Raw genomic sequence first — 19,404 nt, 5'->3', positions numbered from 1 at the left:
TCGGGACGGTGAGGCAGGAGAATTGTTTGAACTGGAGAGGCAGAGGTTGCGGTGAGCCGAGATCGTGAATTTGCACACCAGCCTGGGTGACAAGAGCGAGACTCCATCTAAAAAAAAAATGTATAGATATGTATACATATGTATACATTCCTGTTTCATAAATTTTATTGGTTTTATGCTATTATTGAATAGGATCAAGTAAAATGTAACTTTTCCTTGAGCCATTGTTATCTTCTGGTCTTCTGTATTCTAAAAGATGAAACATACAAAGACAGTGTCACTTTTAAGTCAGCTGTGTCGAGGGCATGCACGGTGTTTGCTCCTCATCTAATCTCAGCTCCTTCCCTGTGGGGTGCTCCTTTCTCTCCATGCCATTCCTACAGATCCCAGGTCACATAATGGACTCCATCGCTGGGGCTGGATCTTCTTTGACTGGGAGCAAGGAACAACTTCCATATATAAAAGTCCACTTCTGAAAATCCTGATGTAAATAAAACTTCCAAAGACACTGTGTTTACTTCATTTTCCACCTTCTCCATTTTTCCTTTTACATTTCCTATCCCCATCTTCTCCCTCTCAAGAAAAGATTCCAAGAATTTTCAGGAGACTATCCTCTATTATCAGTTTTATTTTCTTTCTGTTGTACTTTTTTTGTTGACTTGATATTTTCTTTGGCTGATATGCTTCAGATTTTGTGATTTACTTTATTTTAACCTTAATAAATACACGTAGTGGGCGAACATGCAAGAAGCCAGGCCTCTGTCTTCCCGTATTTTTTTCTGGTCTGTAACTGTCCATTAAGGGTGGGTCCCATTGGTGTCTATGATCTCTCATGCTTCAGCAGCTTATATGACATTTTGTTTACCATGATATAAAACATGCATTCTCAAGAGGCTGTATTAGTCTGTTCTTGCATTGCCATAAAGAAATACCTGAGAGTGGGTAATTTATACAGAAGAGAGGTTTAATTGGCTCACAGTTCTTCAGGTTGTACAGGAAGCATGGTGCTGGCATCTGCTCAGCTTCTAGGGAGTCCTCAGGAAGCTTACAATCATGGTGGAAGGTGTAGAGGGAGCAGTCACATCACATGGAAAGTAAGAGTGAGTGAGAGAGTGAGGAGGGTGCTACACACTTAAATGACCAGATCTTGTGTGAACTCAGAGCAAGAGCTCTCTTATCACCAAGAGGGTGGCCCAAGACATTCATGAGGGATCTGCCCCCGTGATCCAAACACCTCCCACCAGGCCCCATTGTCAACACTAGGGATTACCTTTCAATACGAGATTTGGGCGGGGACAAATATTCAAACTATATCAGGAGCAGTATCATCTGCAAGGGGGCAATAATTAGTTCCCTAGTGGGAGTGAGAAAATATTAGTCTTTTATGTGTAAATATTTACATCTAGTACAGAAACTGATATGCAGTCTATCTGTGGTATTATAATTTCACTGGGGGATGATTAGAGAAAAAATGTCTAATAATGCTTTTAGAGGGAGATAATGAAAAAAAGATTCATACACACTTGTCTAAGAGAGAAATCACGGTTTTGTCATCAAAAGCTCTTGCTTAAGCCAAACATCATAAATAAATCATGAGACATGACAAAATAGAGGGGGAAAATAGGTACTTTCATCTAAATATTCCCATGTTTTCTGCGCTCTGGTGTGCTTTACACCACGTATTCTCTACCAGTTGTATTCTCTTTTCTAGTAATGTTTTCCCAAAAAACTTGATTCCAGGGTTTAGAAATGTGAGTAACCCTGGCTTCAAATATCTTCTATGATTTGTAAAATCACATTGCAGGCATTTTTGTTTAATTAATTGTGTATATATTTGAGCATATATTTACCTTTTCCCAACAAACCATTGTAATATGTGCAAATACAGGGATATAGGAAGTGCCATAGGGAACAGGGAAGAAACAACAAATACAGAATGCTCGAGAATTTTGAGAACCCCGGGATGGATCCATCAGGATCAGGAACATTTCTCTCTTTTAATCATGCCTGAGTTGCCACATCATGAGCTGCTCCATCCTTTGATGGGGCCCCTCTATTAGCCCATTTGTTAGACCGTGTTCTTTTCCTTAACTCTATACCTATTTTGTCACAAACTGACCATTTTTGAAATAAGCCTTGTAAAGCACATCATCACGATATCTCTGTGGGGTTCCTAGTGTTTATTATTTGTGTATTTACTATGTCATTTGCCATACATCATTAAATTTTCCATTTATTTATGCATGTGTTTGTTTATGAGCCCTGTGATGGGGATAAGCACAGAACGTTATGGGGGCATGTTGAGGGAAATGCAATTCAGCTTAGAAGGAGGTAGGGATTCAGTTTCCAGAACAAGGCTCGAGGGAGGAGCCAAGTCTCAGGAACAAAACAAAGAAGTGATTTCCAGAGCTGGATTCAAAAACCAGAAGTACATAGCAGCGAGGGCAACCTAAGTTTGGGGATATTTAAATTGCCCTTGCCTAGAGACAAGGACCAATCTTCTCTGAAGTCATTGACCCCAACCTTCAAGAGAAGATGGCAGGAGGCAAGGATGAGGCTGATGAGACTCATAGTGTTTCAAATTTGGAACAGAAGCCTCATTATTCTGACAGTGCAGCAGAGGCCCGCTAAGGCCCAGGAAATACCAGAAGTCCCAACCCTGGAAGCGGCCGGGGTTAACAGCCAAATGCCCTGGCCCTCATTTCACCACACTCTTCCTTATACCAAATAATGATTTTCCAGAGTGCAGGTTTTTCTTTTCAAAGTCTATTTCTTGGTTCTTCATGATATTATATGCTGAAACTCTCGCCAGCAAAGATTCTGAGATGTCTTAATGGGAATCAGCAAGTGAACTCAAAGCATTAAGGAAGATTAGAAGCTCTCTAAAAGGTTCTGGAAAGGTGATCCTTACTAAAGATCTGTATGATATGCCTAACAATTTGTCTGACTATGGCCTTCTAAAGATGTGTTATGTGTCACCTAAAAGCTCTTGAGGATGAAAGTCTCCAACTTGCAGCCTGGTGATCTTCATGTACTTACATATTTCTCTCCTTTCTCCAATTTTTACTGACTTTTCCTATATTTCTGGTTTATGAAACTTTACTCATCAATAACAGTAGAGTGAGAAACAATATAATAAGGAGTTATTAGCACCCACATTTTGGGGGATAGAGGTGTCAGTGGTAAAAATATTTTATTTTGAAAACTATACTTTTGTACATGACTAACACTTATTGGTAAAAGCATTTGCAAACAAGCTCTTGGTTCTTTTTATTTTAAATACATACATTCCTTTCTCTTTTGCATAAATCTTTGTGCAGAGTAATCTTCAGCGGCATATATACTTTTGACCCCACATTTCACAGTGGGAAAGGTATGAGAGTCACTAGCTGAATGTTTAACAGCAGTTTTTCTGCTTGTGATGTGGGATCACATAAACTTCTCTTCTTTCCACAAGCCTCATCCAGACTTGCTCCAAGTGAACACTTTCCACACAGGCCAGTGTCTGTGCTATGAACTTACCCGCTTTCCCACCAGCCTGAGAGATATTTTAGTCTCAGCCTCTGGTAGCTGAGGCCACCTCTTAAGCAAAAGTGTGCCACTGTGCCAATAGTGAGGCTGCTGTATTTGACGAGGACCACAGCGCCCTGGCAGATAGACCCTGTTCTGATTTGCCAAACCTCCTGGAGGTGAATGAAGGTTTGCTGACTGTGGTCAGGAAGGTCCCAATTATGAATGATTCCCTAACCAAGTGTTGAAAACACTTTACTTTGTAATTAAAATGCAAAACACATACAAACTGCCAAACCCAGCAAAAAAATCTTCAGGAATTTTCCTTGAAAGTTTGGTTTCTTACTTCCTTCAAGCATCTTCCCTCTAAATCTACTTTTATTTCTCTTATTCTTTCATAAACAAAATGATCTTTTTTGATCCTCTTGATTGACATTGTTTTTCAAGAAAAATGGATATAATTTATCTTATTAGTAAAATATATTTTTAGGTACCTGTTCTTCTTCTCACATATCTTAAACCTCATTCTCACTCTATTTTGCTAGTGTTATGAAAATCAACTCTGTAGTGAGGAAAACAGTAGAAAAGACAATTTTCTGGAGAAGGCAATTTTTCTTTTTAATCTGTTGTATTAGTTCGTTCTCACATTTGCTATAAAGAAATACCTGAGACTGGGTAATTTATAAAGAAAGATCTTTAATTGGCTCACAGTTCACAGGCTGTACAGGAAGCATGGTAGCATCTGCTTCTGGGGAGGCCTCAGGGAGCTTTTTACTCATGGAGGGAAGGCAAGGTGGGAGCAGGCATATTACATGACAGGGGCAGAAGCAAGAGAGAGGGGAGGCGCTACACACTTTTAAACAACCAGATCTCATGAGAATTCATGCACTCACTATCATGATAATAGCACCAAGGGGATACTGTTAACCTACTCATGAGAACTCAGCCTCCATGATCCAGTCACCTCCCACCAGGTGCCACCTCCAATGCTGGGGACTACTATTCAACATGAGGGTTGGTGTGAGACACAGATCCAAACCATAAGTCTGGTAAGATTTTGCTCTGTGTATTATAAGGCTTCGTTAGTGGGTGCATAAAGTTTAGAATGCCTTTTTGGTGAATTGAATCAGTTATCATTATGTGGTGACCCCATTATTCCTAATAATACTTTACATTTAAATTTGATGTTGTCTGATAGTAATGTATCTGTAACAACTTTCTCTGAGTTGGTAGTATTTACCTGGTATTTGTTTTTCCATTTTTACTTTTTCAATTTTTCCGTGGTTTTCCTTTTACTTTCCATATAGCTGGAGAGGAGGTAGGGAGGGCAGGAGACTAATGTGAGCCAAAGTCAGCAAAAGAGAAAGAACTGAGACAAATGAAAGAAAGGACAAATTAAAAAGGGCTCAACTTCAAAAAGTAAAATAGTTCCTTCTTATCTGCGAGAGATACGTTCCAAGACCCCCAATGGATACCTGAAACTTCCAATAGAATGGAACCTTATAAATACAGTACTCTGTTTTTTCCTATACATACACACCTCGGAAAAAGTTTAATTTATAAATTAGGCACAGTAAAAGATTAGCAACAATAACTAATAATAAAATAGAACAATTTTAACAAGAGACTGTAATAAAAGTTATGTGAATGTGGTCTCTTTCTCTCTCTCTAAAAATGTTTTCATATTTTTGGATCATGGTTGGCCAAGAGTAAGTGAAACCTTGGAACAGGAAACCACAGATAAGGGAGGGCCAGTGGACCTATGGGCTAAGATTTACGCAAATGTATCTGTGCGTCTGGAGCTTCATATACAGAAAATTTAAAGAAGAGAAGAAAAATCTTCTTTAGCTAAAGATCCCATAGAAAAAGTCAAATAACTGTCATCAAACTGGGAGAAACTAGTTTTAATATATGTAGTAGAAAAAGATGAATATAACAACATATGAAGAATGTCTATAGTTTGATAAGAAAAAGTCTATCAGGAAAAAAGATATGAATAGATAACGCACAGAAGATGAACTGGAAATAACAAATAAATGTATTTAAAAATGCACAACTTCACTAGTAATCAAGGAAATGCAAATTAAGATGAGCTTTGATTTTCCATCTCTTAGATTGGGAAATACTCCAAAATTAAATAACATTACGTATTGATAAGGGCATAGAAAAAAAGTAACTCTCTTCTCTAAATTAAATTTCTGGTCAGGGTTTAACTCTTTCTTGCCTTTTTTTGTAGGGCATTTTGCCAAACCTTTTAAAATTGCACATATTCTTTGAGCCAACAATCTCACTTCTTGGTATCTACCCAAAAGAAACACAGCCACATGTGTGCAAGAAGGCATGCAAAAAACTGTTCCCTGTGGTATTTTATAGAATAATTTTTTTCAAAAACCTCTGAATTTCCACTAGTAGGGCAATAATTAAAACTTTCACAATCCATATTATGGAATATTATGCAACAATATTTCAATGCAAGAAATCTATATCTACACTGATGGAAATATCTAAAGACTTCTTGTTAATTAAAAGCATTCACAAAGTAAAAGATTATTCTACTTATGTAAAAATACAGACTTGACACAAATTTTTTATTTATGTATTTTCATCATACATACAAAAAGGGTTGAGTGGATACACACTAAATTCATTACAGGTATTATACCTAGTAAAAGAATGGGGCCGGAGGGAATATTTTTAGAGTGACTTTACTTGAATCTACATTACTTCAATTTCTTACAATCAGAAATGAGCTCATAGTTAACTGTGTAATTAAAGCAATTGTTTTTAAAAAGAAATGATCATATGTTTGACTAATGGGTACATTTTTAGTATGATTTGATGTTCACTGTTTAGATTAATTGGATCACAATGTTTAATGCAATGATGAAATTCTTCTCTAAGCTTAAAGGATAAGGCTAGCACATAGGAAAATCTACTGGTGGACCAAGCAAACTTAAAATTAAGTTCAGTCTTTAGGGAGAAACGTTATGTCTAGAGTAAAACATACAATTAACAACTGTGAGCAAATCTCTCTTCTCTGACCAAAGGGAACACGGATGCTTGATATGGTTTGGATGTTTTGCCCCCTCCAAATCTCATGTTGAAATGTAACCTCTACCACTGGAGGTGGGCCTAGCAGGAGGTGTTTGGATCATGGGGGCAATTCGCTAATGAATGTCTTGGTGCTATCCTCATGGTAATGAGTAAGTTTTTGCTCTATTAGCTCATGTGAGAACTGGTTGTTTGAAAGAGCCTGGCACCTCATTCTCTCTCTCTCTTACCCTTCATTTGCCATGTAAGCCTGCTGCCTCTTCATTTTCCACCATGACTGTAAGCTTCCTGAGGCTTCACCAGAAGTAGATGCTGGTGCCATGCTTCTTGTACGGGCTGCAGAACTGTGATCCAAATGTTTCTTTTCTTTATAAATTACCCAGTCTGAGATATTCCTATATAGCAATGCAAACTGGACTAAGACAATGCCTTTTGCAGTTGAATTATGGGGAATTCTTGGTAGACAACACTGGCAGGCAGAAGGTGAGTGGAAATGTCTGGAACAGCTCATACTCCCTATTTTAGTTGGTGCATCTCACTCTCCCAGAATATAAGGATCTTTTTCTTTTGAGTATCCCCTTTGAGGCACTGGGGTAGGTATTACAAGCCGGTGGCACAGGGCAAATGGCCTGATCCTACAGAAGGTGTCAATGTCTTTAGGATTATAAACTAGTGTAGAGACCCCAAAGCCTACAAATTGAGTGATGAATTTTAATCTGGCTTAGGTCTTTAAAAATTAAACTGAAAATCTGAGCTGTAAGGGTCTGGTCTAATCTTCCACTTTACAAAGGAAGTAACTGAGGACCTGAGGGTTAAGTATCCTCCTCAAGATCACTCAGCCGAGAATGACTCTTCTTATATTCTTCAGTGGCTCTGAAGAGATTGTAAATGACCAGGGTAACCTCTCTCAGGATCTAGGGGCTCCTCAACTGCTGCTCGGTGGAGGGACTGATTTAAAGCCTTCTGCTTACTTTGCAATAATTCTGGAGAATGATCAATTCTGAGCAGAGATGTTTAGGTTCAGAGCCCCCAGCTAAAGCTGCGTATTTATGGAGAATTCCAGACATTATTTATTGTTTTCCTTTCTCAGGTTGTCATGATATTTTACCATTTAAATTCTACTTTCAAGTGAGATTTTTAAGCCATTATCCCAGTGAACAAAGGAGAGATAAAGCTATCAAAGTATAGAGATTTCAAAGGTTAAAAACTCATAAAACTTGGAAATTTAGAATTAAAGCTATTCCAGTTGAATACTTATTAATATAAATCTAAAACAATATTGAGTAATGTCCCCTGTTCTCACATTTCTTTATTTCTTTTTCTTTTGTTTTCTTTTTTTTTTTGAGACAGAGTTTCACTCTTGTTGTCCAGACTGGAGTGCAATTGTGCGATCTCTGCTCACTGCAACCTCCACCTTCCAGTTTCAAGCAATTCTCCTGCCTCAGCCTCCAAAGTAGCTGGGATTATAGGCATGTGCCACCATGCCCAGCTAATTTTCTACATTTTTAGTAGAGACAGGGTTTCATTATATTGGTTAGGCTGGTCTCAAACTCCTGACCTCAGGTGATCCACCCACCACCTCCTTGGCCTTCCAAAGTGCTGGGATTACAGGTATGAGCGACTGTGCCAGGTGTGTTCTCACATTTCTGAGATATTTACTTACAATAAAGATTAAATAAGGATAGGATATTGGTCTTTGACGTTTACTGAATTTCCTGGGTTGATGTAGGATGCCATTATCATTATAGTTTGTCCAAAATACCAGAAACCTTTCTGTAACAAAAACAAAATTACCTGTTCTATTCCCTTATGTCTTTTGTTACCCTGTCCCTTTATGTATGCATGCACATGCATGTGCATGCACACACACACACACAGAGGCAACGTTATTTCCAAGCAACAAAACGAAAACAGGACCTGTAAACTCAAAATAAATTGTCACCTTTGTGCTGAAACTGTACATAGCCATGCAGAGCCTTTTTACAGTGTCCAGAGAGATTGTGAAGGCAGGCGACCTGTGCTTGGGGTCCGATTTATGACAGTCTGACTTTGTTACAGGTTCAGCAGAGGACACATCTGGAACCCCTTTCCTGCTGGAGTGGACAGTGGAGGCAGCGCCACAGTGGATTTTCATTGGTGTCTCCCCTGGCTGCCTGGTGGCTGCCTGTCAGAGCCAGCGCTTGAGAACGTGGCTGCTAGTGAAAGTGTTTATGTGTTTATGTGACCACAGGTATGTGCCCTTGGTGACAGATCTATTCCATGTTGTACGTTCTGTCAGGCAGTGGGATGTGGGAGGAAGCCAGAGGGAGCGTCCCTGAGGTTGCAACGTCACACTCAGGAGAGGGAGGGTCCCTGGGGTACGGAGTCTGGGCTTTGGGAGAATGTGTGTGGCGTTTCTCCTGGATTCTGGCTGAATGAGGTCTTTGGAAATGGCACTTCCTCTGCTGTTAAATTTAGCTATGGTTTATCCAATACAGAGGAAGATGGCCTATCTCACAAGTGACACGTCACCAGTTCCCTACTTTGCAAATGCATTTTCTGAGTGTGATAGCCACTGCTTAGCACAGCCCTAACTCTGGTCAGGTGAAGATGATTTCCTCTCTGCCTGCCAGTGAACTCTGAGCCTTGAACACTCCCTGAGTTTCAGGAGAAATCTTCCCACAGACTAGAAGACATCTCTGCTTGGCAAAGCCCAGTGACAGCAGGAATGTTCTTTCCCTTTCCTGAAGGTTCCAGGAAGGAAAAGGGCTGTGGGATACCAGCTGACCAGTGTTGTTAAAGGCTGACAGGGAACCCAGGGCCCTGCTGGGCAACGTGGGGAATACCAAGGCAATTGAAGTCACAACATTTGGATGTTGTTGTTTATTTGTTTTTTGCTTTTTATTTTGAGATGCTTCCAGCCCCACAGGGAGATAAAATGGAAAAGTGAGAGGTCTGCTCCGTGCCCTTCCTCATTGCTGTGTGCCCTTCGGGGTGTTCCACAGGTTTTGTTCTTGGCTTTCCCCATCTTCTTCGACACACTCCCCATTTCCAAGCCTCCCACAGTGATTGGCAGTTCCCCCCCAGCCCGAGATCTCTTGATCACTAAACCCGTGTATCTGTCATTTAATATCTTGTGGACATCGCCCCGTTGCCTCATGGGTGCCTTACTGAGCGGTCCCTTGCTGACTCTGGCATTCTCTTCCTCATATTTGCATGTTTCAGTTAAAGGTTCCACGATCCTCCTCGTCTCATAGGTTAAAAATCTCAGGGGCATTTTGACAGTCCCTTCTTAATCACAGCCTTTTGATTTTTACTTCTAAAGTATCTCTTGAATACAGTTTCTTTCCTCCATTGCCAAAGCTTTAGCTTGGATCTTCTGCATTTCTTCCTTGGATGATCAGAGGCACCTGTTAGTGGTCAGTATTATGAGAATAAATTCTCCCTTTTCATAAGAAATATTTTATAAAATCCCCTTTACTGCCCTGAAATGAAATTTGTAAGTGATGTAATCTACTTGCACATGTATTTTAAAAATTCATTTAGAGCCCCAACTTTGATGTAAAAGAAAAATACAATTAAAATAGAAGTTTATAACATAATAATACATGTTTCAGGACATGAAGACTCGGCATGACAGAATTAAGTGATTGGTTGCTGCACCTCTGTGGAAAATTGTCAGAAATGTGACAGCTGCAAATGCAGCCCACCAAAGGCCTTTAGCATGTTCGATGGGTGGCTCAAATATGGAGAGGGGTGCTGCTGTTGGTGACATAATTTTCCAGTAAGGTGAAAACTCACAGGAAAGTTCTGACCCAAATAAAGTACAATCTTCCCATAACTTATAGACACAAAGGTTGCATTCCTGAAAAATCCAATATATATTAAAATCATGCCAACCCAGCCCATTTGTTTTTATATGTAAATGTGTAGCAGGACACAGAACGATTCTCTCATGTGGGCAAGTGTCCCTGCATTTTCAGGACATCCAGCACCCCATTTTCTACCCATTCACTGATAGCCATGCCCCAAAGCATTGCCTCAACCAACAAACCCTCCCGCAAGTTTAGAAAATGTATCTTGGCAATTGGTAGTGTTTCTATTGGGAATCACTGCAAAACCTCAATTTACTTAGGTAAAGTTTTACTTAAATAAGCAATGCACAATTGTCGCCTCCTTTTAAAAGATGAAGATTTTTACAGGTGCAGTTAAATTCCGTCTGCTTCCACCCCTACCCTAGTCTACTGCACACTCATTCTAAGAGGCAAGCAATGTCAACAGTTGAGCATATATCATTCCAGAAGTTTTATATATTCACCTACAGTTTATGTATCCATAGAAAATATATGGTACCTGGTGTGAGTTGAATTGTGTCCCCTCCTCCAAACTCATATGTTGAAGTCTTAGCCTCCAGTACTTTAGAATGTGACCTTATTTGGGAATAGCACCTTTGAAGATGTAATTAATTAGGTTAAGATGCAGTCATGCTGGAGTAGAGCAGGCCTCTAATCCAGTAATGACTGCTGTCCTTATCTGGGAAAATTCGGATGGAGAGACACACACACAGGAATGGGGTCTCTCTCTGTCACCCAGTCTGGAGTGCAGTGGCACAATCACTGCTAACTGCAGCCTTGACCTCTTAGGCTGAAGTGATCCTCCTGCCTCAGCATCCCAAGTAACTGAGTCTACAGGTGCATGCCACCATGCCTGGCTAATTTTTTTTTTTTTTTTTTGGATAAGGTCTTCCTATGTTGCCCAGGCTGGACTTGAACTCCTGAGCTCAAGTGATCCTCCTGCCTCGGCCTCCCAAAGTGCTGTTGTTACAGGCATGAGCCACTATGCCTCACTGGGGTGATTCTTTAAAGCCAAGGAACACCAAAAATTGCCAGCAAACTGCTAGAATCTTTGAGAGAGGCAGGGGACGGATCCTTCCCACACCACCCTCAAAAGAAACCAACCCTGCCAATATCTTAATCTTAGACTTTGAGCCTCCCGCACTGAAAGGCAATGAATGCATTTCTATTGTTTAAATCCCGCAGTTTATCTAGAGCTTTGTCATGGCAGCTTTAGCAAAGGAATACAGTACCCTTCTGTGTTTCGGTGCTTTAGGTAGCAAACAGATAAGAAACTATCCGACTGAGGAGCAGCAAGGGTCTGGAGCTACTGCGATTGGGTGACCTGGGTAGAGACCCTCCTGGAGATTTCACTCTGACTAGAACTGGAAGGACAAACCCACCGCAGGTATAGACTCTTGCATACAAACTGTGTCTTTTTCCTGAGTCCCATCTTACAACAAAAGACATACCCATCAAATCAGATTTGCAATCGAGTTGTTTGTGTCAAAAGAGAAATGTTGTAATTAACCTTGAGACTTTTTTCAAGCAGCAGGTTTGCCTTATAAATGAAAAATAATGAATAAGCCAAACTGTACCCAGGGGTATGACAGAGTTTTAACTGGCTTCATGTATAGCCAGTGTGGCTGGGAGAAATGTGATCTCCATTTCATTTCAGATCTTTCTCTGAACCTTCCATATGCATGCATGATGGAATGGGTTCCCAAATCCAGCTTGAAATGTAGTGCATGACATACTACCCACGCAAATAAAATGAATAGTTCAAAATTATGGGGCACTGACAGAAAAAGCAGACCTTTTAATATCTAGTTTCATTGAGTAATGCATTTAAAATAATTTGCAAACTGGAAAGGTAATTAAAAGGGTCCTTTTACTCCCCTATGCCACATGTCACAGTCTTTAATGTTTAATGAGAGTTGCTCTTTGAGTCTAGGATTTAGTGAAAGACATTTGGCTTGGACAAGAACTAAGACAAATGCTGCTAACATGATTCTATTCAATTTAGTGCTTTAAATACTTTCAGGAATGGTGGATTATTTTCAAAGTAAGGTTTGTGGAAGCTGGGAATTTTGAAGTATTTTACCTGGAAATTATCTATCGGAATGCTTCTGTATGCTTTAAAAAATGTATACTCTACATATGGACACAAAGAAAGGAACAAGAGACACTGGAGCCTACTTGAGGGTAGAGGGTGAGGATTGAAAAACTACCTATTGGGTACTCTGCTTATTACCTGGATGATGAAATAATCTGTGCACTGAAGCCCCGCAACACACATTGACCTATATAATAAATCTGCACATGTGTCCCTGAACCTAAAATGAAAGTAAAAATATGTATATTCTAAATGGAAATTTGTCAATATAAAAAACTTCTGTTAATTTTCTAGATTATAAAATAGTTTGAGCTAACAGAAACCTATAGTATTTTTGGTCTTCATTAAAAACACAATATATTTGTGTATGAACATTACAAAGGTATATATTTTGCTACAGAACTGTACAATTATCCTCCATATCCAACATAATAGAGACAACATTATTTATAATTGTATGGACATAGTACTGTAAAATCGAAATTTTTATGTCAGTTTCCTTGACTGATTTAAAAACCATTAAAAATATAAATACTCCTCTTCTGTCCCCTTAAATTTACTGTTTTTTTTTTTTGCATCTTTCAACAACACAGTTAGAATATTAACAAATTCTTAGTGTTTTTCTTATGCCTACTTGTCTCACCTATTTGTCATTTAAAAATTGTTTGGAAAGGTAGAGCAATTTTGGCAATTCAGCAAGATCCTCACATCCTGCTTTGAAGAAGCATTAAATATTTTGTCCAGCTTAGCTGTCTGAAAAGAATGATCAGTTCTGTCATGGTGGGACACCATGGAAGTTCCTTGGGAGGTTGACAAGATCAAATACACCGCACTGCATCTGTGACAGTTTTCTGTGTGGAGTGTCTTTTCCTAATACACCTGTGTGTGCCGCCTTCATCATCACGGCCAGCTTTGATAGTAGCCCTGAGTCATTGGTCCCAGGGCCTGAAGTGTCCTTCTGCCTTTTGCCCTGTCTCACCTTCTCATCCTTTGTGCCTTCAGCAACTTTGTTTCTGTTGCAGAAGAGCCTTTCCTGGGCCTTCACCTCACTGGGTCAAACCACCTCCACCCTCCAGTACCTTCTCTGGACACTATTGTCTTCCCTTTGCTCACTACAGTTGTGACGCCACACTTATTTGTGAAAGGATATTGTGGCTGGCTGTCTGCTTCCATGGTCTGTAAGCTCCAGAAGCACAGGAGCTTTTTAATTTTTTTTGAAGAATCAAAGAATCAAATCACCTGTTATTAATATTGTGTTTTTTTCATGAAAATTCATTTTAGATGATAAACCTGACCTCATATGGTAAGGTAATCATCTCAAAACCCCATGCAGTTTTTGTTGTGTTTTTTTTTTTTGATAAAATATACACTGTATAAAATTTACCATTTTGACCCTTTTAGATATACAATTCAGTGACATTTACTACATTCACATTCACCGTGATCCAGCTCCAGAACTTTCCTATCATCTCAAACTGAAACTCTGATCCCATTCATCGTGAACTTCCCATTCTCCCCTCACCCCACTGCCTGGCAACCACCATTCTCCTTTCTGTCTCTGTGAATTTCACTGCTCTAGGTGCCTCATAAAAGTGGAATCATGTAAAATTTATCTGGGGCTTTGTTTAATTCTGTTCACCTGATGCTTAATGAAGCACCTGGCCCGTAATAGGCCACTACTAAATACACTTACTAAATACTGGAGAATAAATGAATGAAGCACAGGGTATGAAGTATTTTGATTTGAAAGCATTGCATGAAGGGATTGACTACTCTGGAAAGAAGGAATGATGCTTTTCAAAACATTGACTTGTGTCACTCAGAATCCACCCTACGCCTCGTGGAATGGCCACAGACCAGACCAGCGTGCTCAAGGGCAGAATGCATGCCATGTTTTTAATTATTGAGAGCACTGCCACGGGGAAGGAGCACAGTATTCCAATTCATATGATTAAGGCCTCCTCCAAAAGGGAGCTCAGATGTTGATGTGCTTTTGCATCTTCTTCATTCACTCAGAAACATTGACTGACACACTGGTTGTGCACTTGAGTATGATGGGATAGAGACAGATGTTTGCTCTGTGCTAGTGGGGTAGGCAGTCTTGAGCACCAGTTTTCAATGTGTGGTTCTCGATTGTTTGCCTCAGAATCACCAGAATGGATGTAGCTTGTCAGCCTTCACTGCAGACAGACTAAGCTCAAATATTTCAGAGGGCGGCGGGAGAAATCTTACACTGGGACAATTTCCTCTGTCCTTCTCACTAATGTTGGAGTCCAGAGAGGCTCAGGAGGGGTGTTTATTAAATGCAATGTCCCCCAATTTGACTTCACCTGGGTCAACTGGTACCAAATCATACAACATTCTAGTGAGGCTTCATCCAGTTCTGAGGTGCCTGCTGTTCACCAGGGCAGCATGCTGGCTCATAATTGGGGGCCCAAGTGCTTGGTGTGTTCTCTGGTCTCTTTCAATAGCTGCTTGTGTGTGTGGATTCTTGAGGCACTAGGTTAAGCCACAGCTGATTATAATGTCTCCAAGGACAGAGAGACATTGCTTAGCCACTGGCCTGAGATGCGTGAGCCTGGGCATTTCACTTTACTGCTCTTGGCTAATAAAATGAGGACTAAAATCTCTTTGCCATAGATTGAGAAAATTACACAAAACACTGTAAGGTTCCTAAAACAGGGCTAGTGATTCAGTAAATACTTAAATGATGTTGATCCCCAAGGACATTATTAATTGAGAAACTGCTAATAATGTTCCCCTCAACTACAAAAGTTCTGCAGACTTCTGCAGTTTTCTGAATGAGAGCATAAAATCAAGATAACAAAACTAAGCTCATCCAAAGGTGCTACTATGTGAAGGGAAATGGTAGGGATAGTGCTACAATCTTCATCACATCTGCTGACAGCCCCAGCACAGCCCCACAGGTAGGGCAATTCGAACTTCACATAACAGCCATGGTCCCAGCAAGAGTTTACCTAGGTGGTTCAAGTAAAGAGAGTTGAAGGAAGGTATTACTTTCAGAGGAGCATGTAAGGCTAACGGCACAAGCAAGGGATGCTGAGAGACCCAGAGGCTCATCACAGCAGGAAGCCATTACCACCTCCCTTAGGCCAGGAAGGACATGGGAAGAAGTGGTGCTACTGGAGCCTACTGAGAGCTGCACTGTGAAAGGGGAGGCTAATGTAGCAGGAACAGCAGTCACGGAGAGATGCTAATATTGCCAAGGCACGGCACCAAACCAGGGAAGAAAGACTCTGACCCTCTCCTCTCCCAACCTCCATGCTCCCAACAGTGCCTGCTATTGGCTAAGTCTGAACAGAAACCAGCCAGGAGCAAGCCACTGGCGGGGGAGCCCAGGTGTTGAGCTACAAGAGAGAAAGGCTGAGAATAGATCAAGAGGAAGGGCTGGCAAATGAGAAAAACAGCACACATCCTTTGCTCGGGTGTTTCTATGGAGAATATTCCCTTTCTGAGAGGCCTTCCTTAGGCCATGCATCAAGCACAGAATGGGATCACAGCAGATTCACATGCAGAAGCACTGCCTGGTCCATTTCACAACAGAGACTTGAAAATCATCCTGAATTGGGAAAGCACAGTGCGAGGCAACACTTGTGTGAAGACCATTCACAGTACTTTGAGTTTTCACTTTATTTTTAAAAATCTGCCTTGTTTCAAAATGTGTTTAGGTAGTTTCACATCATAGTCACATCTATTCCATTTTCTGTTGAGAAGTTTTATCTCTTTTTCCTACTACTTGCTACTGATCATATTGACTCAAGACCATTTTTTCTACAGTTCAGCAGTAAATGGGAGAAAAATGAAAAAACAAATAACATGATCTTTTCAGGGTACTCTGATAATCAATGGCAATCACCTCAAATGCTGATTTGGGTGTACCATAAGCTGTAAGGTGTATACTTTTTTTCAGCATTTGTAAATAACTCTCAAGAATGGAAGGAACCTTCTTTCTGTCTGGTCTAGGGAGGTCATTGCCACTTCTCATCAATGGTACATCTATGTAACAAAGCTGGTCTTTCATTTGGCAACCTCTAGCTAATCCTAAACTTTTTGGAATGAGATGTGATTTCAGTGCCAAGTTATTCAGGAATGGAGAGACTTCTATTTCTTGGTTTTGTCATGTGCGACGTAAGTAGAGAAGCACTGTGGCCTGCTGGGTGGGGGAGGGTAGAAATAAGTGTGATCTGAAGGTTCTTTTGATGGTAGACAAAGAATGATTCAAGGGATACGTTAACTCTTAGGGTTCTCTGTGGGTCAACAGTGAGGTAATCGGGGAAGCCCCAAGCCCCTACTCTTTATGGAAAGGGTTTTAATTACCCTTGGCAGGCTGTTCTTCCTTCTGCAGTGTGCCTTGGTCCAGAGCCATACTTTGGGGATGGCTACTTTGGGCACAATGGCTATTTATCATTTGGGCATTCGAGCTCTAGCCAAATATACAAATCATCTCCCAATCAGACCGATATCAAGGTTTCCACGCTGGGCTATGAATTTCATTACGGGCTTTTAGCACCATGAAGTGGTTTTTCTCACGCATGTCCTCACACCCTAATAATCATGGCTAGTTTTCTGAGGGGAGAAATGTTTTGCTAAAATGCTGCATTTATGCCAACTCAAGTGTGCTTTTATTCAGTCAAAGCTCCTGACACCTTCTCTTTAGAGATACATTAGCCACCTTCAAGAATTATATCCTAAAACATTAATAGTTTAGGGGACATCATTGTTGCTGAATCAAACTTGGGTTCACTCCACCCAGTGCACAAAAAAGCCAAACCTGACACCAGGATTTCTGGTGAGAGAAAGTGAGCCTTTTACCGCAAAACACCAAGCAAGGAGAATCGGACAGTTAACACTCAGGACTTGAACTCCTTGATGGCTTCAAGGCAGGGGTGCATTTCAGGAAAGCAGAAGTTATAGGCAAAATTGTAAATCAATGGATGGAAGTCATACACTGGTTTGGCCTCTAAAGGCAGGGTATCTTGAAACGGGAACTTACAGGTCATAGGTGGATTTAGAGATTTTTTGATTTGCAATTGGTTAAGGAAGTAAGGCTTTGTCTAAAAACTTGGGGTCAGCAGAAAGGAATGTTAAGGTTTGGCTTCTGGGCGTGAGTCTCTTCAGGTCCCTCATGAAGAAATTTAGAGCAAGAGCAGTGGTCAGAGCTTTGTCCCCAGTTTTCCTTCATCTGAGGTTTACGCAACAGTGGTTGGCATTCTTTATTTGGTGGGAGTACTGGGTTCTGAAAAACAACGACATATTTCAAGATGTTATATGGAGCTGTTACAGGGAAGAAAATATCTTGTGACTTTAGCTTACTTGGGTGCCTATTGTTTAAGTTATTATTACCTTCTTGTTTAGTGGGTTATTTACTTTTCTAATTGCTGGTTGTAGGGCTAGCTAGCTGCCTTGAATTGTCCTTGAAGGGACTCAAATTTTTTTCTTTATCTCTATGGTTGGGGAGGCAAGGGAGCCCAGCAAGCTCCTAAGAAGTGTCCTTTTCCATCTGATCATTAAGCTCTAAGGTATTTAACTGAGTGATGGGGGCATAGTGAATCCTAAAACTTCATTTCTTTTCTTTTCTTTCTTTTTTTTTTTTTTTTGAGATGGAGTCTCTCTCTGTGGCCCAGGCTGGAGCACAGTGGCACAATCTTGCCTCACTGCAACCTCCACCTCCAGGGTTCAAACGATTCTCCTCTCTCAGCCTCCAGAGCAACTGGGATTACAGGAACGCACCACCACGCCAGCTAATTTTTGTATTTCTAGTAGAGAAAGGGTTTCACCATGTTGGCCAGGCTGGTCTCAAACTCCTGACCTCATGGTCTGCCCGCCTTGGCCTCCCAAAGTTCTGGGATTACAGGCATGAGCCACTATGTCTGGCCCTAAAACTTCATTTCTTTCTGTGGTGTGTGTATATTGCAGACTGCATGTGTTTCCCAGGTTTTCCTTTCTTCAATTTGATTATTCTGATGCCTTTTTATAGAATCTTTATAATATCAGTGAGAAGTAGTGGGAAAAGCACATGATTTAGGGTTAGAAAACATGAACTTCAAGTTCTTGATGCCGACCTATGGCAAGTCACTTCACTTCCTTGGGTCTTACTTTCTTCATCTGTGAAATAAAGTTGTGATGTGTCAGGGGCTCTAACAGGATCAGGCACTGCGAAGCAAGAGGGCAGTTCTAGGAAGCACTGAAGCTTCCTCGTCACTGCAGAAGAGGCTCCGCTGACTCACAGCAAAAGAGCATGAGATGATCAGAATGAAGTCATCAATGTCAGACAAATTTTTCCCAGCACCCAAACCTTCACAGATGCATCATTCTTTAGGGTATAAAGTCTAAATGCCTTAGTATGATGCCCAAGAACCTCCTTTCTCCAGCCATGCCTGACCCTGACTTGCTCTCAGTGGCTGGGTAGTGCTAGCACCATTTGCCATATGCCTGTCCCACTGTCTGCCCGTTGTCCCTCACCATAGCTTTTCCTGCTGTCAAGATAACCCTCTCTTCCTTTCTTGCCCATTGAGGTGCGGTTCACTGAAGGCCTCCTTTCATGGACTGGCTGAAACCAGCCCTGCTGCTGGGCCCTTAAGTGGTAAGGCTTTAGGAAGGGAGAAAGGGAAGTGAGCTGGCATGTGCCGAAGGATGGTACATTGTTACTGCATTTTATCTTCATACCCACCCTGAAAGAGGTGTTTTTGCCTCATTTTACTTAGGAGAAGGCTGAGGCTCAGTGAGGCTAAGTAATTTGACCATGGTCACATGCTGCTAAGTGACGACTTTCAGATTCAAATTCAGGTCTGTACAGTACCTAAAGCTGCCTCCCCTGCCCAGAACAATGCCATTCTTTTAGGAGTCTTGCAACTATTCTCTAAAAATTGTGGTTAAATAAACAGAAATTTATTC

The 19,404-nt window shown here is 40.8% G+C and overlaps 1 long non-coding RNA gene across 5 annotated transcripts in view; it reads left to right on the top strand.

The window, feature by feature from the left end:
* Window positions 1-19,404, top strand: part of LOC105376126 (uncharacterized) — a 103,060-nt gene that overhangs the window by 66,113 nt on the left and 17,543 nt on the right. For 3 of the 5 annotated variants that reach the window (XR_007061642.1, XR_001746813.2, XR_001746811.2), the window contains 2 exons: window positions 8,620-8,791; window positions 11,650-11,781. This is a non-coding gene — a long non-coding RNA (uncharacterized LOC105376126). Of the gene's footprint in view, window positions 1-8,619; window positions 8,792-11,649; window positions 13,027-19,404 lie in introns of those variants that run through there. The other 2 variants (XR_007061641.1, XR_001746814.2) reach the window with 2 other exon arrangements.

Source organism: Homo sapiens, chromosome 9 (assembly GCF_000001405.40).
Source record: "Homo sapiens chromosome 9, GRCh38.p14 Primary Assembly".
Taxonomy (NCBI): Eukaryota; Metazoa; Chordata; class Mammalia; order Primates; family Hominidae; genus Homo; species Homo sapiens.
The sequence above is the reverse complement of the archived record's forward strand: the minus strand, read 5'-3'. Positions and strand labels throughout refer to the sequence as shown.